Here is a 20,472-nt window from a genome sequence, read left to right on the forward strand (position 1 = left end):
GCCTCGACTTCCTGGTCCCAAGCTATCCTCCCACCTCAGCCACCCAAGTAGGTGGGACTACAGGCATGCACCACCACACCTGGCAAAATTTTAATTTTATTTTACTTTTTAAAATTTTTGTAGAGATGGGGTCTCCCTATGTTGCCAAGGCTTGTCCCCAAATACCTGGACCTCCCAAAGTGCTGGGATTATAGGTGTGAGCCACCACACCCAGCCATGTATATGTTAAAGCGTTTATCTGTATGAGTGGTCAGTGTAGAAAGGGCTTCATGGAGCCTGATTTTGATGGCTTGCAAATTATTATATTTGTGTATGTGTAATCGGAAGGCCTTCGCCGTGATTATTTCTTCAAAGGAACCCTTTGTCCCTCCAGGGTGATTGTACCCATGTTCATAGGACCAAACATTGCTGGTTCACATAATGACTCTTTTTCTTTTAAAACATAAAGGACATATTTTTATGGATTTTTGAGGATTAATAGAATAAAAATCTAAAGTCATATTCAGATTCAAGAGAACTGGATCAGTTTCTCTGTATTTGAACAAAAGAATACTAATCTCTAATTCATAATGCATGAGGTCTACTTCTTCCTCAGTCTGAAAATATGAATATTCCAAAATGGTACTCAAGGCAGAGGCTATATATCAAAATTAAAATTCTGTGATACTATGTTTTTAGGGAAGAAGAAAACTGTAGCATTAGAAATGTAGACGCAAAAGGTCAGAACAAAGTCCAGTATGTCAAGTCCCTTTATAATGCCATCTGAATGAAAGACCTCACACCATGAACAGAGGTATTGAAGCAGTTTTTATGTGGAAATGGTAGGCAGCAATATCTCAGGAGTGACTTTAATTATAACATTTAAGGTTTTATCTAACTTATTATAATCCTTAGAGAACTTCTCTAGCTCTACAAGTTATTCTTGGCAGAATTTGTCCTAACATAGTATTAATAAAAATAAATTTTACTTGAGTATGATATAAATTACTCTTAATTACAATATAATTTTAAAATGCCCAAAACATCTTTTGATCTTATGAATTTCAGTCAGCTATGATTAAGAAGACAACCATAGGCAAAAATTTCTTTCTTATGGAACACGTTGGAATGCATTCTAATCACTTCTCTAAGAAAATCCCTGTCCCCCATGATTATAGTGAATATGATACAGCAATAATTTAGATGCTTCTTTCAGGGGGGTGAGGTTATGTATTCTACAGTCTATTGATTCTAAGAGGCACTTTTTTCTCCCCCAATTTAACAGTTTTGTTTAATTATATACATTTCAGGATTTTTTGGGGATATTTTTCTATCACTGGTTTCTGATTTAATTCCACTGTATTTAGATAACATATTCCGCATGCTTTCAATTCTTTGAAATTTATTGAGACTTACTTTATGGCTCGGGACGTGGTCTATCTTCGTGAATATTCCGTGTGTATTTAAAAATAATGTGGACTCTGGGCCGGGCGCGGTGGCTCACGGCTGTAATCCTAGCACTTTGGGAGTCCGAGGCAGGCAAATCATGAGGTCAGGAGATCGAGACCATCCTGGCTCACACGGTGAAACCCCATCTCTACTAAAAAAATACAAAAACTTAGCCAGGCGTTGTGGTGGGCGCCTGTAGTCCCAGCTACTCAGGAGGCTGAGGCAGGAGAACAGCGTGAACCCAGGAGGCAGAGCTTGCAGTGAGCCGAGATGGCGCCACTGCACTCCAGCCTGGGTGACAGAGCGAGACTCCATCTCAAAAAAAAAAAGAAAATAATAATAATAATAATGTGGACTCTAAAATCATTCAGTGGGGTGTTGTAGACACACTAGGTTCTTTTGATTGACAGTTTTGTTCCTAAGCCTTCTATATCTTTCCTACCATGGTTTGAATGTGTCCCCACCAAATTCAGGTGTTGAAACAGGATGACCAATGTGATGGTAGGAAAAGGTAGAGCCTGTAAGAAGTGATGGGATTAGGTGCCCTTTTAAAAGGGCTTGCTGGAGGAAATTTGTCTCCTCTTGCCTTTCCGCCCTCTGCCAGTTGCGGACACAGCATTCCTCCCCTCTAGAGGATGCATCCCTCACCAGATACCAAATGCTGGTGCCTTGATCTTGGGCTTCCCGTTGCCAGAACTGTGAGAAATAAACCTGGGCTCTTTATAAATTACCCAGTCTCAGCTATTCTGTTATAGCAGCATTGACAGACTAAGACATTTCCTGACACTCTGTTGATTTGCTTTGATCAATTACCGAGAGAGGAATGTTAAAAATCTTAACTGTAATTGTGGATTTGTCATTTTTTCCATTAGTTCTGCCACGTTTTTGCTTCATGTATTTTGAAGCTTTGTTAATAGGTGCGTACACAATAAGATCATTGTTTTTCTTTGATGAGTTGGCCCTTTGATTCTTATATGCAATGTTCCTCTTTGTCCCTGGTAATGTTTATTCTCTTGAAGTCTACTTTATCTGATATTTTAGAATGTAGCCTGCTTTTCTTATATTTAGCATTTGCATGATATAACTAGCCCAGTGTACCATCTTCATACATTTAAACTGTGTCTTTAATATTAAAGTACAATTCTTATGAAAAGCGTATACTTTAATCTTGTTTTTTAAAAATCCAGTCTGATCATCTCTGTCTTCTAGATGAGTTCAGTCCAGTTCCATGTAATATTATTATTATTATTATTTTTTTTTTTTTTTTTTTTTGAGACGGAGTCTCGCTCTGTCGCCCAGGCTGGAGTGCAGTGGCGGGATCTCGGCTCACTGCAAGCTCCGCCTCCCGGGTTCACGCCATTCTCCTGCCTCAGCCTCCCAAGTAGCTGGGACTACAGGCGCCCGCCACTACGCCCGGCTAATTTTTTGTATTTTTAGTAGAGACGGGGTTTCACCGTTTTAGCCGGGATGGTCTCGATCTCCTGACCTCGTGATCCGCCCGCCTCGGCCTCCCAAAGTGCTGGGATTACAGGCGTGAGCCACCGCGCCCGGCCCCATGTAATATTATTACTGGTATGTTGGGTTTAAGTCTCTCATCTTGGTAATTAATTATCTATTTGTGCTATCTCTTCTTTATTCTTTTTTTTCTCCTTTCCTGCCATCCTTTGAATAAATCAAGTTTAGTGTTTTAAATTCCATTTTATCTCCTTCATTGGTTACTTTCTAAAGTGGTTACTTTACCACTTTAGAAAAGTATTTGTTTATTACAATATGCATCTTTGAGTCTCTAATTAATGTGAGAACTTGACAATGTTATACTTCTGTTTGTCCTTCTGTGCTGTTATTGTTATACATTTTACTTCTTTATATGTTATAAACTCCAAAATATATTGTCTTGTTTTGCTGTGAACAGTCAATCGTCTGTTTAGGAAATTAAGAAAGAAGAAATAAAAGTCTTCTGCTTACTCACATATTTATCATTATTGATGCTTTTTATTCTTTCATACAGGTCCAAGTGTCTATCATTTCCCTTCAGCATGAAGAACTTCTTTTTAGCATGTCTTTTAGCAGGTCTGCTGGTGATGAATACTCTTAGCTCTTGTTTACTTGAAAATGTCAATTTCACCTTTATTTTTAAAAGATTTATTTGCTGAATATTCTGGACCAATCTTTTTTTTTCTTTTATCACTGTAAAGGTGCCTTTACATTGCCTTCTAGCTTGTACTGTATCTAATGATCATCAGAAACATCATGCTTATCATGCTTATCAATTGTTCCCCCATATATAATATGTCCTTTCTTGTCCTTTGCTATTTTGGGATTTTTTTTTTCTCTAGCATTAGTTTTTAACAGTTTGGCTGTAATATGCCTAACCATGGTTTTATTTGTCTTTATCCAGCAGAGAGATCTTTGAGATTCTTGGATCTGTGGGTTGATTTTTTAAAAATCAAATTTATAAAAATTCTCAACTGTTATTTTTTTGAATATTTTTTCTGTCTTTTTTCTGTTTCTGGGATTCTATGTTACAAATACGTAAGACTGCTTAATATTGTCCTGTAGGTCACTGAAGCTGTGTTCACTTCTTTCTACCTTTTTTTCTCTGTAATTCAGTTTGGGTAGTTTTTATTGACCTTTCTTCTAGTTTATTGGTACTTTCTTCTATAATGTTAAATATGCTAAGTCCATCTAGTGAAATTTCATTTCAGTTCTAAAATTTCCATTCTTTTTTTTAAAAGAAAGGTATGCATTTCTTTGCTGATATTGCCTATCTGTTCTCTCATTATGTTCATCTTTTCCTTTACATTATTGACCATATGCTATTAGCTATTTTTGTCATTTGTGTCATTTTTTTTCTCAGTCTTATTTTCCTATTTCTTTGCAGGCTTCATTATGTTTTATTGTACATTGTGGAGAGTTTGGGTTTTTTGTCTTCCTTTAAAACGTGTTGAGCTTTGTTGTAACAGGCAGTGAATTTACTGGTGGATCACCTAGTTTTATTAAGATAGGTTTAGAGTAGCCCTTATTTTAGGATGTTTCTAACTCCCATCGTGTGGTCTTTCTGAAATCACAACTGAATGCTCACAATGTTCAGTGATGTCTTTCCACCCTGGATTATTACAAATTCAGTGTCTCTCAGCACTATATGATGTCCGGAATTTCCATTTAGCTCTTAGATGCCCAGAAACTGTTTTCTATTAGGTTTTGCAGGGTCTTGTCCTACACTATCACAGCTTGGTATTTGGCCAGTGACCAGAGATGACCCCTATGTAGATTTCTGAGGCTCTTGCTTTTTGTGTAAAGCCTTTCTTTGTGATATTCTGCCCATTGGTGTTCTCTCTTTGGGCTCTCCCTGTGTCATGATTTGGAAAGTGTCCTCAGTCAAAAAGTGAGGGCGAATTTAGAATTTACCTAAATCACCTTATAATATATAGCCCTATGAAGTCCAATGTCTTAAATTACATCTTTAGGTATTTTGTATGGTTTCACAGTTGAGTATAGCAAGGAGGGAGGTTCAGATAACTGTTAATCTGTGATAACTAAAACCAGAATTTGACATTCTGACAAACTTGAAATTGCAGTGCTTCTTAAAATTAATACAGTATTACTTAAAAAACAAAAACAAAAAAACCAGTGTTTTCCAATTTGCCAATACAAAAAAGCAAAACTCCCATCTCTACTTTTTAGGAACTTCTATCCATTTGAGAAGATGATAAATATATAGGTAAAGTTAGATTGCAGTAAAACTATGCTGTCTAGTGTTAAATCACCAGTATATATAAGTTTTATAGATATTATGTGACTACAGAGCTATAGGTTATAGGAAAAATATAGGATTTCTTGGCAGAAATTGGATTTAACTAGAGCCTTGAAGAGTGGATGCTATTGAGGTAGAAAAGATGGCATTTCAGGATGCAGGGCATATTGTGAACAAATGTACAAGATGGAAATGAGCAAGTCATTCTGAATGATTAATCTGTCTATCATAGAGGGTTTTGATTAGGACATAGTAGTAGTTGATGCTTATAATATGATTTAATATAATAATGTAATGTGCTGAGTGGTTGAAGTCTTTGGACTTTATCTTATAAGTAATATGGCAATAATGTGAAAGATTCTTGAAGAGGAAGAAACCCTGCAGTGAGGGAGAACAGTACAGAGCCTATTACTGTCATTCAGAGGTGAAGCAATAAAGGTCTCTCCTAGGATGTTGGAAAGAAGGGGCAGATCCAAGAAACAACATGAAGAAAATAATCAGCAGAAATTGGTTATTGACTAGATATGTGTGAAAATGATATATTGGCAGAAATTGCAAAGTCAAAAATGGGGCTCATTGCAGCAGGAATGATGAAATTGCTTTTAGATAGAGAGGTGAAGGGATTTAAAACATTAACTTGTTTTAAAGGTATCACTGCTTAAAGCTAACAGTGATTTATTAATATTTGCACTCTGAAAGTTTTAACAGTTTTAATTTTATGTATACACCACAGTGTTTTGGCTACTATACTTGCCTCTTTTGTTCAGTTGGGAATTGAGTAAACTAATAGAGTAAAAAAATGAGTACAAAGTGGGCTTTGACTAGAACTCTAACAAAGTGTGATCACTGAATTACCAAGATAATTAACCCATACCCCACATATACTCCATTTCCCATGACACATATTATATTGCATTGTTTTTGCCTATTTGCCTTCCTACTTCCTAAACTGTTGAATTAGTTTGCTTTTGTTGCATTAAAAAAAAGGAGAATCACCACAAAGCAAATTAAAAGATACTGATTACTTCTTCCAATTCTGTGGGCTGCCTAGTTCATCTGGCCTGGCCTGCTTTGGCTAATCTCTGAGGTCTTTTGGCTACTTGACTGGTACTGTTTGTAGCTACTCAGCTGGTGCCCTACTGCTGTTTGTCTGAAGTTGTTTTGGCTACTCAGCTGGTGCTAGGGAGCCTCAGCTAGGACTGCCTGTCTGTGCTCCACATGGTCTTTGATTTTCCAGTGGCTGGTGCAGGCTTGTTTGCATGGTAACAATGTTCCAAGAAAGCAAGAATGATCATTGCAAGGCCTCTTATAAGCTGGGTTTAGAACTTGTACTTCTACCTCTTCCTATTGGTCAGAGTATGTCCGTAGGTCTGCCAAGACTCAAAGCACAGAGAAATAGATGTTTCCTCTTGTTGAGTGGCATATAAAAAAAAGTGTGGCCATTGATTTCAATCTGCCACAACCGTAAGCTCTGTGAGTACAGGAACTGCATCACTCTTTTGCACTTTGGTGTTGTTGGCATAGTAGGCATAAATATTTTTAGGTGAATGACTAAATTAATGAAGGAAGGAAAACATTCAGGTAGTATTTCAATATACTGTAGTTTTAAATTATATATATTATATACATTTGACATAGTTTAATATATAAGTATATACACATATAGTTTTCATATATAAGTATATTATATATTATATAAAATATTTATATGTTATATATAAAGTATATATATAAAATATATAGTTTTAATATGTAAGTATATGTATATAATTATATATAATATTATAAGTATATATACTTTTATCATACCATCAGTGAGTATAGACATGGTTCAGGGAGAATCTCTTTATTCTCCTTCTATCTTTTGAGATAGACCAAAGAAAATTTTTTTTTAAAAAAAGAACTATCACTTGAGTTAACATTGTTTGGTATTTTTATCTTCATAGGTGATTGCCTTGTGAATAACTCATTTTGTGTATTGTCAGAATCCTATTCTGCTTTTCAGGCTGTGCTATGGGTAGACTAGCTCTAACCAGAACACTTGGGAGACCTGAAGCAAAGATACTATATTAAAATAAGTAATGTTATATGCCAAAGAGGAAAACCACTTCTGCCTCCTAAACAACTGAAAGAACCAGAGACTGTGGGGTCAGATTAGCTAGCATTACTATATGAACCTGAGCAAATGACTTACTCTCTTTCAGCTTCAGTGTCTTATCTAGGACATTGGTTCTCAGGATTGGTGTGAGAATTAAGAGAAATATGTGAAGTTCTAGCTACAGTTCTTTACCCATGAGGTAGTCAGTAAAGTTTACTTCTTTCTCCATGTGAACCAAAGCACTGTCATGATGTGATGATGTTCATTAGGGTTTCTCATGCTCAGCGTTATTGATATTTAGGGTTGCATAATGCTTTATTGTGAGGGGCCATTCTGTGCAGTATAGGATGTGTAGCAGCATCTGTAGCCTCTATACACTAGATGCCAGTAGGACCACCTATCCAGCTGTGACAGGCAAAAATGTCTTCAAACGTTGCCAAATGACCCCTGGGGGCAAAATGCAAACAGTTTATCTAGCAGTGACACATAGCCAGCCACCTTAGAAAGGGAATTGTCAGCGTACCCATAAGTGTAGAATGGGAAACAAAATACTTGAGTCTTCTCAGAATGTCTAAACCTTTTGCTGTCTATATTCCTCTTTTTATAATTTACCACAAACATATATTGCTTATTATGCCATCTAATAAAATGGCTAACATTTGCTGTGTATTATACTCGGTGTTAATAAGCTTTGTATGAACTCACTAGCTGAATGTTGTATATGTATCTGCCATACCTGTTGGATTGACATTCCACTGTAAACAGGTACCTTATCTTTACCAGCTCCAAGCACAATGTATTTGGTATATCAGGTAGCTATTCTACATGTTAATTGATCACATTGCACCCAAATGAAACATGGATGTGGAAGTGGAAGGAGGAGCTTTAAAACATGGAAAATTAGTTTATACAAATCTAAATGTTGTAGTGCACCAAATTGATTCCTTTTTAAAAACTTTCAGAAATCAGCTTTTAAAAAAAAAAAGTAACTAAGCCATGATCAACTTTTCTTTCATCACCACTAAGCCAATATCAGAAAGTTGTCAATCAACAGCTCTTTTAAAGTTGAAATTTTTCTATTGTATTTCTTATGAAGATTTCAGTAGTGCTTAGAAGTTTTTGGCTCATTTATCATGTTTTATTCACTGTATGTCATTAATTGTTAAAGATGTCAGAGTCAAACCTTAAATTCAGGAGAGATTTAAATTTTTCCTTTTTCCTATTTAAATATATGTTTCTAATTACATAATTCAGTTAGAAAATTACAATATAGAAACATATAACTTAGTAAAAGTTTCCAGTTACTGTATACAGATTATATTGTATACTGTATTATTTTTAACAGTTGCATATTTAACTTATAAATGTGGATAATTATAATTAAACAATCTGTTATCAAAGGACATACAGATTATTTCCAGTTCCTTGCTGCAGTGAATATCCTTGTACTTATTTTTTTACACACTTGCTCAGATAATTTTTAAGTACAAATTCCTGAGGTAGAATTGCAGAATCAAAAGATACTCTCATTTGAGTGTTTCACATTTTATGCAAAGTATTTTGTTTCCTCCAGAAAATTCCTCTGTGGAAGAGGCTTCCTCACATTCTTTATCAGTTTATTAGCCAGCAGAGAAATGATGAAAAGCCACCCCTTTTCTTGTAGTTTCATCCTCATTGCTATCCAAGATGAGGTATTAAAATCACACCTAAGTGGTGTCTGTTGTGGCTGAATATAATCTTGAAAGTAGAGACACTTCTCTCTGATTCCCAACTGTACTCTCTGGATGGCACCTAAAATTTTATTTTTTCAAACTGAAAATCATTTTAATGAGTTCGAAAAGGTTTTATTTTTTAAAATGAAATCCTATAGAAAGAATACATTTTCTTACAGTGGGTCATGGTCAAAAGTGTGAATATCTCTGATCCTAGAAAGTTTCCCCAGTTACAAGGACAGGCGTGCCCCCAACTCCATCCTTAATGGCTCAATTCTGTGGCTTTCAAGTTAATCCACTCAGTCCTACAGCCTTCACCAAGAAGCTCATGTGCTACACTTTGGTGTTAGTGGGGGCATTGTCACACAGGTTCAGAAAATAACCCATTAGGCATTTTATAGAACTCATCACATGTTCAGAACTAAGCTAGTTGTAACATTATGTTTTTCATGTGAAAAAACACAAGCAATTCACTGGCTATTTTATTTGTTGCTAGCTAGCTATACTTTCTATTTCTTTTTCCATGGTGTGAAAATCTTCCTAGAAACCTCACTACTGGGAAAAGAGATGCAGAGATTAGTCCCATCTTCTCCCCTGGAAATTTACTATCGCCCTTTTGGCTTCAAGGTCCTTCCTCAAAAGCAAAGAATTGAACAAGGGAAAGTGAGGGGAAGGGCTGGGGGAACAGGGAGGTAGAAGGGGTTTTCCCTGGTCTTTTCTAATCCTTTAGTTCCAGACGCTTAGTTGGTATTTCAACATTTTAGAAATAAAACCTGCTTTTATAATTAATGCAAATATTACTTAGTGATTCATCCTTTCCAAATGATTCTTGGTTTCTTTTGACATTTCATTTTTAAATTGTGAATTAACATTGACATCACCATAGCGTTACTGTTACCTCAGCTCTTTACAGTGAACTGTATTGCAAAGGCTATAAAAGTTCAAATTTTAACTATCACCCACGTGAGCCTTGGACTGCTGTTAGGCTTTTGAAACTGTGATCCTTTGGCAAGAATTGGTGTATAAATCATGGGGAGGATATTGAAGGGGAAGATCATGTTTAATTTGGCAGTTGGGTGCCTGCAATTGACAGATTTTCATTAAGGTTTTAGCTATAGTAGTGATCATGCATCAGTTCTAATAAAGTAGGTTTCGTTTGAATTTTAAAAATTAGAGTGAGGACTGCTTTATGTTAACTGTTTACATTCAGAAGTCTGGAAAACCATCCACAGGTTTAAATGTATATAATCAGTATAATTAACACATCAACAGCCTCACCTCTGTTTTTGAGGACCATAGGCTAATATTATTTATGAAGGTTCAGGAGATCAGTCTAGATCGACAGAAAGCTTAAGGGCAAAGATGGTTTTAATATTTTTCTTGGAAGTTTGAGCTTCTGTGGTATTCTAAGGATAGGGATTTTGACATTGATTGTTCTAGCTGGTATTCAGTACTGTATTTAAGTGTAATGTTTTTACTAGTATTCTTCTTATAACTGAAAACTATGCTAATGATTCTTTACTATAGATATATACTCATAAATACGTGTAAAAATCCAAGTTTACCAAAAAATATTAAGACTTAGGGGATATGTTCTTTGAATAGGCATTTATTTGCTAATTAACATATTCTAATCTCAACAAGGTTATATTCTTTTCAAAAATCCATTCCATCAAAATCTGTCATTTTTACAGATGAAGAAACAAAGGCCACAGTGAGTTTAGTTAATATCCAAGATCACACAGCCAGCATGATAGAACTCTTAAATTTCAAGCGACTTACCCTCTTTACTCTATCAGGTCAAATTTCCCTTTTTTAACTGCTTGTCTTAATTGAGATTTGTTTAATTGTGGCTGTCTGTATATCTTCAATCAATACTTTCTTGTTTTAGACAAATGTTTCCCTGCAAATCTGCATGAACTTCATGTTCTGAAGGACTCAGAGCTGCCCTTTCCTTTTTGTTAAAGTTGTACACTGCTCTGCATCCCCCTAGAATGCTCATCAGCTTTCTCACTCTTCCTCACTCACACAGTGCTCCAGCAGGAGAGGATTTCTTTGAAAATCAGATTCTTTTTTGGAGGGCTTTGTGCTTATTGGAGTGTTATGTGATATATTCATTACGGTGAGGGCTAAACTCTTTGAACAAAGAGACCTGACAGTGCATTTGGGTTAAAGAACAAAGTTTATTTCTTTCTCTCATCACCACCAGCATGAGCAGCCTGGATGGTCAGAGCAGATCTGTCTCATGGCATTGTTCAGGGATCCTCATTCCTTCCCTCTCATTTATCTGCCATCCCCTAGGCTATTAATCATCATGTTTTTGGTAGAAGCCAGGTCTTCTCCATGTCTGAGTTTTTATGGAGGAAGCATGTCAAGGGCCTTAAGCCCAGACCTGGAAGTGGTATGCAAGAGTTCTGACATTGCACTGGTGAGCATTTGGTCAGATGGCCATCTCTAACTCCAACGAAGTGTAGGGTATACACTAGGTAAGCAGTCACATTTCCAGCTACAATACTAATTCTATGGAAAAGGAGACAACATATTTTGATGGGTAGCTGACATTCTCATCTGCAGTCCTAAGTACTCATGACTGCTAGATAGACTTTATGAAAAAAAAAAAGAAAAATAACCCCAGGAATTAATATTTACCCTCAGCCTTGTGTTTCTTTAATTTTCTCATTTTTCATGTCACATATCTAAAATTTGATCTAAATAAATTTAAATAAAATTAACCTTTATTTGAATAATAATAAGGACATTTCTCAAGGAAGTAAATCTCAAATGATATGTGATTTTAGATACTATCTTTATCTGACCATGTGGTTCCTTGCTTCTATCAGGGAGGGCCTCTGGGTAATAGAAGATTGCTAGGGCCTGCAGTATATTAATGTTTAGCTGGAGTTGATTAAATCTGAGACCTATAGCCTTGATAATAAGGACTTTTATTTTTGTATTTTTATTGCACTTTTAATATTACAGAGTTTCTGTACCAGCTTGACAACAGCAGAAACATGGCTTGCTTCTGTGGAACACGCTAGAGCAGCAGTCCCCAACCTTTTTGGCATCAGGGACCAGTTTCGTGGAAGACAGCGTTTCCACAGACTGGGGGCTGGGGGTGATTTTGTGATGATTCAAGCACATTACATATATTGTGCACTTTATTTCTATTATTATTAACATTGTAATATGTAATTAAATAATTATACAACTCACCATAATGTAGAATCAGTAGGAGACCTGAGCTGCTTTTCCCACAACTAGACAGTCCCATCTGGGAGTGACGGGAGACAGTGACCCATCTGGAGACAGTGACAGTGATCATCAGGCGTTAGATTCTCATAAGGAGCGGGCAATCTAGATCCCTTGCATGCACAGTTCACAATAGGGTTTATGCTCCTATGAGAATCTAATGCCACTGCTGATCTGACAGGACACGGAGCTCAGGCAGTAATGCAAGCGATGGGGAGCAGCTGTATATACAGATGAAGCTTGGCTGGCTTGCCTACTGCTCACCTCTTTTTGTGCTGCGTTATCCATAGCCCAGGGTTTGGGGACGCCTGCACTAGAGGACAGAGCCTGGTACACTATAGCAGTCCTCCCCTTGTGTTATGCAGAGTACTGATCAGTCCCTTTTGAGCTTCTCAACCTTGTATAAAACTTTGAGACAGTTCTGGGACCATCACAAGGTTTATGAAGGGTTAGAAAACAATACACTTAAGGAACTAAGACTGTAAATCGTTGAAGTTCAGAGGGCGATAAAAAGAAATGGCTTCTAAGAATCCCAGTATGTATGATTTTTTATACAAAGCATAAAGATGATTTGTACCAAACTCAGGACACTGTGGCGAGCTTAACACGAGGGTATTGAATCATACGTAAGTGGTAATTCCTAGATTATGCAATCTCCTTGCTGTTAGATTTAGATACCAAAGAGGAACTACATCATGTCCTCCTCCTATGGTCTTCAAAAAAGGATTATATTTGGTCTTACTGGTATAATACAGTTTATTCCTGCATGAATTCCATGGTGATAGAATTTTTAAAGTTCATTCTAGTGTTACAGTTTTGTTTTGTTTTGTTTTAATACACAGCTTCAGAATGGCAGAAGATGATCCATATTTGGGAAGGCCTGAACAAGTAAGTGTCATAATCTCACTGATAACTTTATTTAAATATATTCATATTTCAAAAATATGCAAAGGCAACATTAGTAAGTTAGCATTAGGAAAATTCTAAAATTAGTAAATTTTTTTTTAATTTCAGTTTCTCTGTCCTTTCATGTGAAGTTGGAGAGGATATGTCATGTGAAATGAGTAACTTACACCCGCTTTCACACATATTGTTGCACAAAAATTGTATATGCTACAGGATAGCTATTGTATTAGCTTTCTAGAGCTACCATAACAGATCACCACAAACCTGATGGCTTAAAACAACAAAATACATTATTTCACAGTTCTGGGGGCTAGAAGTATGAAATCAAGGTGTTGGCAGGGTTGGTTCCTTCTGGAGGCTCTCAGGAAGAATCTGTTCCATGCCTCTCCCCTAGCTTCTGGTTGGTTGCTGGGAATCCTTGGCTTGTAGCTTTATCGCTCCAATCTCTTCCTCCATTGTCACGTGCGCTTCTTCCCGGCGTGTCTCTACTGTGTCTCTAAACCTAAATCTCCTCTTTTTTTCTTCCAAAGGCATCATTGGATTTAGGGTACACCCTTATCCAATATGACTTCATCTTAATTTGTTTATATCTGCGAAGACCCTATTTCCAAATAAAGTCACATTCACAGGTACCGGGGATTAGGAGTTAAAGGTGTCTTTTTGGGAGGGAACACAGTTTAACCCACTACAGCCCCTTGACATATTTATTTAATGTGTACACATGGATGTAGAGAGTGGAATGACAGACCATGGAGATTCAGAAAGGTGAGGGATGGGAGGGCAGTGGGATGGGGGTGGATGATAAGAAGTTACTTAATGGGTACAATGTATGTTATTTGAGTGTTGGATACCCTAAAAACCCTGTTTTGACTACTATACAATCTATGCATGTAACAAAATTGCACTTGTACCCCATCAATTTATACCAAAAAAAAATTTTATTTAAAACTCATCTAGTAAGGAGACAGATTGTTGTAGTGAAAAGATCTTTGAACTCAGAATTTGAAGATCTTTATATAAGTACTGACTACTACAGATCAGCTCCTCAGACTTGAAGAATCACTTAGTCCCCGTAATCCTCACTTTTCTCATTTGTAAAATAGAAATGCTAGCACCACACTAACAGGGATGAGTCAAAAATATTCAATGAATGTGCTTTGTAAGCATAAAACTGTTCCTATCATTATATTAGTAGTTATGAAAGGATAGCAGTGTCCTTTTTTCTTTTTCTCCTATATTTTATTTTGAAAAATGTTGGAAAAAATAAATAGAAATGTTGGAATAATCTAACAAATCTACATTGGTTCTTAAAACCGACATTTTCGCTTTTCTCTTTGCTCTCTTTTTCGTGTGTGTGTGTGTGTGTATATATGTATATATGTATATGTATATACATAATCATTTGGAAGCAATTTTCAGACTCTGGAGCAATTATAATGGCAATATTAAATTATTTATGTAATGATTCCAAGAAGTATTTAAAACATGGAGATTTGTTCATTCATCAGCTATTTATTGAGGTATTACTACGTGCCAGAACATTGGCTTAGTGGGGAAAAAATAAGTGATATATACACTCTAATTTCAGGAACCTACTATTTTAATAGGAAGAACAGAGACATTGTTTTCATATGGTGATATATGCTGTAGTAGTAGTCTGCGCAGAGCGGGATAGAAATGTTAATAAGCAGCATCACTAGGTGCTACCTTGGAGGAAGAGCAGAGTTACGGAGGACTTTCCGAAGGAAGTCTTCGTAAGCTGTGTTTTGAAAGATGTAGTTTGCTAGACTAGAAAAGGTGAAGGAACACTAGGTGCCAGGATAGCCTGGTCACATTTAAATTTTAGTGGAAATCATTTAAAATAGTGGATTTCTGAAATTACACGTGCAAAGAATCAGCCAGAAAAATAAAAACAGAAGTGGAATATGTTTTAAAGGCTCTGGTATCATTTCTATAAATAAAATGGACATATATAGCATTTATCACTTCGGGTGATATTCTGATTGATTTAGAAAGAATGACTGCATTGCTTTTCACATTAAGATGCTCCTTTCTAATTTTATTTTTAAAATGGTGATTTAGGATAAATCTAGGAACATTTTCTTTTATTGCAGCAAAGACATTTGGCTAATTGTATTATCAAAACCGTTTGTTTTACCTTTCGCTTTTATTGTGCTTTCTCTAACAATTAAGGGCGAACTAACCAGCATGAGGATTGTGTCTGCTTGATTTTAAACCATCCTTTCCTGTCTGTACACAGGAAATCTTATCAACAAGAGATGATTCTTTATGCCACAGAAGAGTAAAATCTGCTGAAAACATTCATTTTGAAAGTTTTTCTTATGTGGGCATCTTTGCGATCATCAGTAACAGGGGTGGGGCATATTCTGACATTTCCATTTTTGAGGCAAGCGGTCTTGAAGTTTTTTTCTTTCTTGGCTTGAGCTTGGTGGTTTATATTTCCTAAAGTTTGCATGTCCTCAGTGTTTTAGTGGAGTCTGGAATTTGCTCTCCACCCTGACCTAATAAACAATGCAAGCTGCAGCACAACACAACTTCTCTCTTAGTCTGAAGTGAAGAGTATATCTCTCTCCTAAGGTGAGCCCTTTTGCCCACTCGCCAGTCATTTAGCCACCACAGGAAAGAGTTTTCCTGCTAGGTTATCACGTTTGCTCTGAGACTGTTAAAATCCTGTATGAAATGAGGCCCATTTTTGCAGAACATGGTTTTTCATTCCTGTATTTCCTTTTCAGCAAACAATGAATAGCATCAGTGAGCTTTTAATCTTATAAGCATTGAAGTGAAGCGCATTCTTTGTTCCTCAGTTGAAAATTTGCATCCCTCAAATGGATCTGAAGTACTGTTTATTTAAACGAGATTTTTCTTACTCTTAATTTAACTAGGCATACGAAGATCTTCAGTACCCCAGAACTTTCAATAATTTACTACTAAGGGCAGGAGACAAACTGTAATACTGGCTACTAAAAGAAACGAAAAGCTAGTTCAGCACACTTACTAGTCTCTCATAAAAAGTAAAATATGGCTGGTTTCCATGCTGTCCACAGACATTTCAAACATATAACTTCTTTAGGCTAAAATAAATAGCAAGCTCAGAAATACAGTTTTAAAGTCCTAAATGAGCCAGCGGTTACAATGTTTTTTGATAAGTAATGAATAGTAATTTATTAAGATAAAATGTACTTTCTTCAAAATATTCTGCATGCCCACTCTGTTGCTGCCCTAACACATTACCACATACTTGGGGCTTAAAACAACACAAATTTATACTTCTGAGTCAGGAGCTCAGAAATCTAGAATCAAGGTGTTGGCAGGGCTGCTTTCCTTCTTGCAGCTCTCATCTCTTTGCCTTTTGAGCTTCTAGTGGCTGCCTGCTTTCCCTGTGCACCCTCTCATCACTCCAGCCTCTTGCTTCCTTTGTCATACTTCCTACTATTCAGTGTGATTTCCTGAACCCCTCTCATCAGGCCCACCTGGACAATTCAAGACACTCTCTTCATCTTATTATCATTACCTTAATGACATACGTAAATTTCCTTTTGTCATATAAGGTAGCACTCACAGTTTCTGAGGATTAGGATGCAGACATGTTTAGGGGGTCGTTATTCAGCTTAACACACCCACTAGATTCCAGGTATTTTGTGTTATGCTAGGAAACTGAAGGTAAAAGAAATGAGTGAGCTCAGTGCTTAGTTGTCTACTCCTTGTACTGTCAGTTATATTTTCAGTTATTCTGTAAATAGTCCCAGAGGTGCTCTCTAGCATTCTTTCAGGCCTTGACATTGGATAGCTAGATGAGGGGTATATTTACCACCATAGAGGAAATACTGATTTCTAGGATTATATTATTTTGTTTATACTTCTAAGAGAGTACAAGCTTCAAATCATTCATTCAACAACTATTTAAGTATCTGTTCTGTGATAAGCATGTACTTGGCCCTGAAGATATACCAGTAAGCAAGCTAGACCAGGTCCCTGCCTCTGGGGACTTTATAGCCAAGTTATGCTTCTCAAATCCCTTTGTTACGTAAACGTTGTCCAACCCTATGTAAAGTTTTGTACACATGAGAACTACCTAGGTCTCATGAAGATCTTTTAAAACCCTGATTTAAAATATTTTCAGATTTTTGTTTTTGGCTTTAGTTTCATTCCTATTATTACATTTTAGGTGTCCCAACTTCAAATTTTTCATATAATATAGGAAAAATAATGATTGAAACATTTAAATGTTCTTCTTTACAGATGTTTCATTTGGATCCTTCTTTGACTCATACAATATTTAATCCAGAAGTATTTCAACCACAGATGGCACTGCCAACAGGTAAGAAAACTCATCCCTGTTACCCTGTTGTTCTGCTTTCAGTCTTAGTAAAATGCAGGATTTGTTAATAGTCTGTCCTAGAAACTCAGTTGTGTACCTAGAAAGGAAATGGTGATTTGTTTTAAAAACCAATCTTTTAACATACTTTCTTGAAATATATTTGCACAAAAATATTTCATCTCAATTACCCCTTGTATGGTTTACTGCATTTCATATCTGCTAGGACTACTCAGAAGGAATTTCTTTAGTCAACATAAGGATTTTCTTTATTATCTCTGTATTCCTTTTAAGTCCTTTCTCCCAGATTCACACGAGGCAGTCTCCACTCTTCATTTCTGTTTCAAACATTTAAGAGGGCCTGTTGTGTACTACCAGTGTGCCAGTCACTGGGGAATCAAAGTGTACAGAAATCATAAAAATCATCTCATTAGAAAAATCATCTTTATAAAAGCTTATAACTTTGCACTCTGACAAGTTGGATAAAACTCATAATCCTTCCTTCTACCATGACTGTATTAATTGTGCCGATTGGCAACTGTTTAATTTCGTAAGAGTAATAAAAAAAAAACTCTCTTTCTTAAAAAAAGTGATTTATTTGTATGTAAGCTTGGTGTGATGGCTCTTTTTATGTTCTGTTTCTCTCCTCACTTCACCCGTCACCAGTGGGACTTAACAGATGTTCAAAAGCAGTGTGAGTGAATTATGGAAGTTATGTGTAAAACAGAGTTTGGTAATCGCTGAAGGAGGCATCAGCTCTTTTATTTACCAGGGACTTGCTTGTCTTCATTGGGGGACTTTATCCCATTTGTATTATTCTCATTTAAAATTATCATGGTTACTACAGTACTTACTTTTCTTTTGTTTTAGATCAGAAAACTTTTTCTGCATTTATATCTTTAGTATTTCTAGGAGTTCATGGGAGGGAAAAAAGTAGATCTACTATACTTTCACCTTCACTAGTAAAGGTGTATTTCAGAGGTTTTTCTGTCTTTACCCCTACAAAACATTATTTTTAGGCTGCCATGTCTGAGATCTTGTGAAGTGCTGTCCAATTTGAGCTCTAGGTCAGCTTCCTGTGAACAAGTAAATGTGTTGGTAGTGTGTGTGTTTCTTGGGAACTTTTTAATTCTGGAGTTCAAAGTATTTTTCTTAGTATTAATGTATTACTGAAAATATAAGAACTTGGTTCTGTCCACAGGAAATACACACATTTTCACTTAATGTCTTGTGAATACAAAACAGTATCCTGAGGCAGACGTTTTCTTAATTTTATTCCTTCGGATTTATGGGCATGAAAATAAGATTATCAAGATAACCATCTCAGTAAATATTCTGTGGTCACAGCTTTATGTTGTAGAAATTATTTTGCCATAATATTAGAAAAACTATTCAAATTACACCTAAAAATCTAATTTGTTAGTTGTTGTTACACCATCATTTTTACCTGTATGTTTTTCCCTCTTCATTGCAGTGTCATAGTACAATTTTTATAGTCCAAGATATATAGGATGTTGTATTCAAATTTTTAAAGAGGTAGAGAGGTTGATTATCTAAACCAATATTAACTTGTAACTCTAAAATGGATTATTTTAGTCTTCTAGATTTTTTGAAATCTAAAACCTTTAGTAGATCTAGTACTTGTTGAAGACTATGGGATGCGACATAACTCTTAGGTCTAAAGTTAAATTTCTCTGCACAGTGGAATGTCCTTTTCATGGCACAGAAATGTGGCCAAAAGAATGTTGGCCTTAAAACAACAAATACATGCATATCAAATCTAATTTTCTAGTTGATTTAACTTTAATGTGTTGCCTGAAAGAGGAAAAATGGCTCTATTTTACATGAATTTTCACATATTTAAAGGAAATTAAATCCTACAGGAAAAATAATAGCAAATTTGCAGTTGTTTTTAGCAGAGTTAATAAAAAGTGAGAGACTTGAAGTTTAATGTAAACATGCTTCCAACTCCTCTGTATTTTTCATGACATCCAAATATTGCTCTGTTAGAGGACTGTCTTGATATGTTCTTTCACCATTTTAACAGGGAATGTTTTTATAAGTGTTACATTGTCATACAGGCTGTATCTTAGTGTGAAAATATTTCTATTTCTAATCAATTTTATTTCCATATCCAAAATTAAATTCTAGCCATTTGGTGGGGGAATTTTTAAATTATGATTATGTTTCTAAAAGTAATTTAAAATGTCCAGGGGTGAATTTCATACAGACAAAAGATGGTAATTTAATACATTGACCAGTGACTCCCCCTTTTTTTTCTTGTGTATGCTTCATTTCAGATGCATTCATTTTTCAACTCGCTTCCTTGTAAATTTCTTGAATAATAACAGGAAGTAATTATACCCTTGTTTTCTCCAGTTCTCTAGCCTTATCCTGATTTATCATAATATTGAAAAGATAAAAATAAATTCTCTGGCCGGGTGAGGTGGCTCACGCCTGTAATCCCAGCACTTTGGGAGGCCAAGGCAGGTAGATCACGAGCTCAGGAGTTCAAGACCAGCCTGGCCAAGATGGTGAAACCCCGTCTCTACTAAAAAAATACAAAAATTAGCTGGGCATGGTGGTAGGCGCCTGTAATTCCAGCTCCTCTGGAGGCTGAGGCAGAGAATTGCTTGAACCCAGGAAGCAGAGATTGTGGTGAGCCGAGATTGTGCCATGGCACTCCAGCCTGGGTGACAGAGTGAGACTCTGTCTCAAAAAAAAATAAAAAAAATTTTGAGAAAATTCTCTTTTGTGTTATAGTTTATTTTTAATTTCAACCTGAAGGTTTATCTCCTTACAAATTTATTTAAAATAAGAGGTCTTGAGCTTCTTTCTGAGAGAAAATGAAGATTAAAATGGACATACAAGCATTCTCCTAAAATATTTTTAGCACCAAACATCTTAATTTACATTCAAATAAATGAGAACCACCATATGCCTTTATTTATTGCAAAGCTATGGATTATTGTACTATTGACATAAAAAT

At 36.0% G+C, this 20,472-nt stretch overlaps 1 protein-coding gene across 12 annotated transcripts in view; it reads left to right on the forward strand.

The window, feature by feature from the left end:
* The window catches only part of NFKB1 (nuclear factor kappa B subunit 1), a 115,944-nt gene that overhangs the window by 11,070 nt on the left and 84,402 nt on the right, over positions 1–20,472 (forward strand). For 8 of the 12 annotated variants that reach the window (NM_001382626.1, XM_024454069.2, NM_001382627.1 and 5 more), the window contains 2 exons: positions 13,084–13,129; positions 17,408–17,486. In NM_001382626.1, coding sequence (NP_001369555.1) covers positions 13,091–13,129; positions 17,408–17,486 — 118 coding nt within the window. In that variant the 5' untranslated portion in view covers positions 13,084–13,090. Of the gene's footprint in view, positions 1–2,770; positions 2,778–13,083; positions 13,130–17,407; positions 17,487–20,472 lie in introns of those variants that run through there. The other 4 variants (NM_001382628.1, XM_047415743.1, XM_047415744.1 and 1 more) reach the window with 2 other exon arrangements.

Source organism: Homo sapiens, chromosome 4 (genome assembly GCF_000001405.40).
Source record: "Homo sapiens chromosome 4, GRCh38.p14 Primary Assembly".
Lineage (NCBI taxonomy): Eukaryota > Metazoa > Chordata > Mammalia > Primates > Hominidae > Homo > Homo sapiens.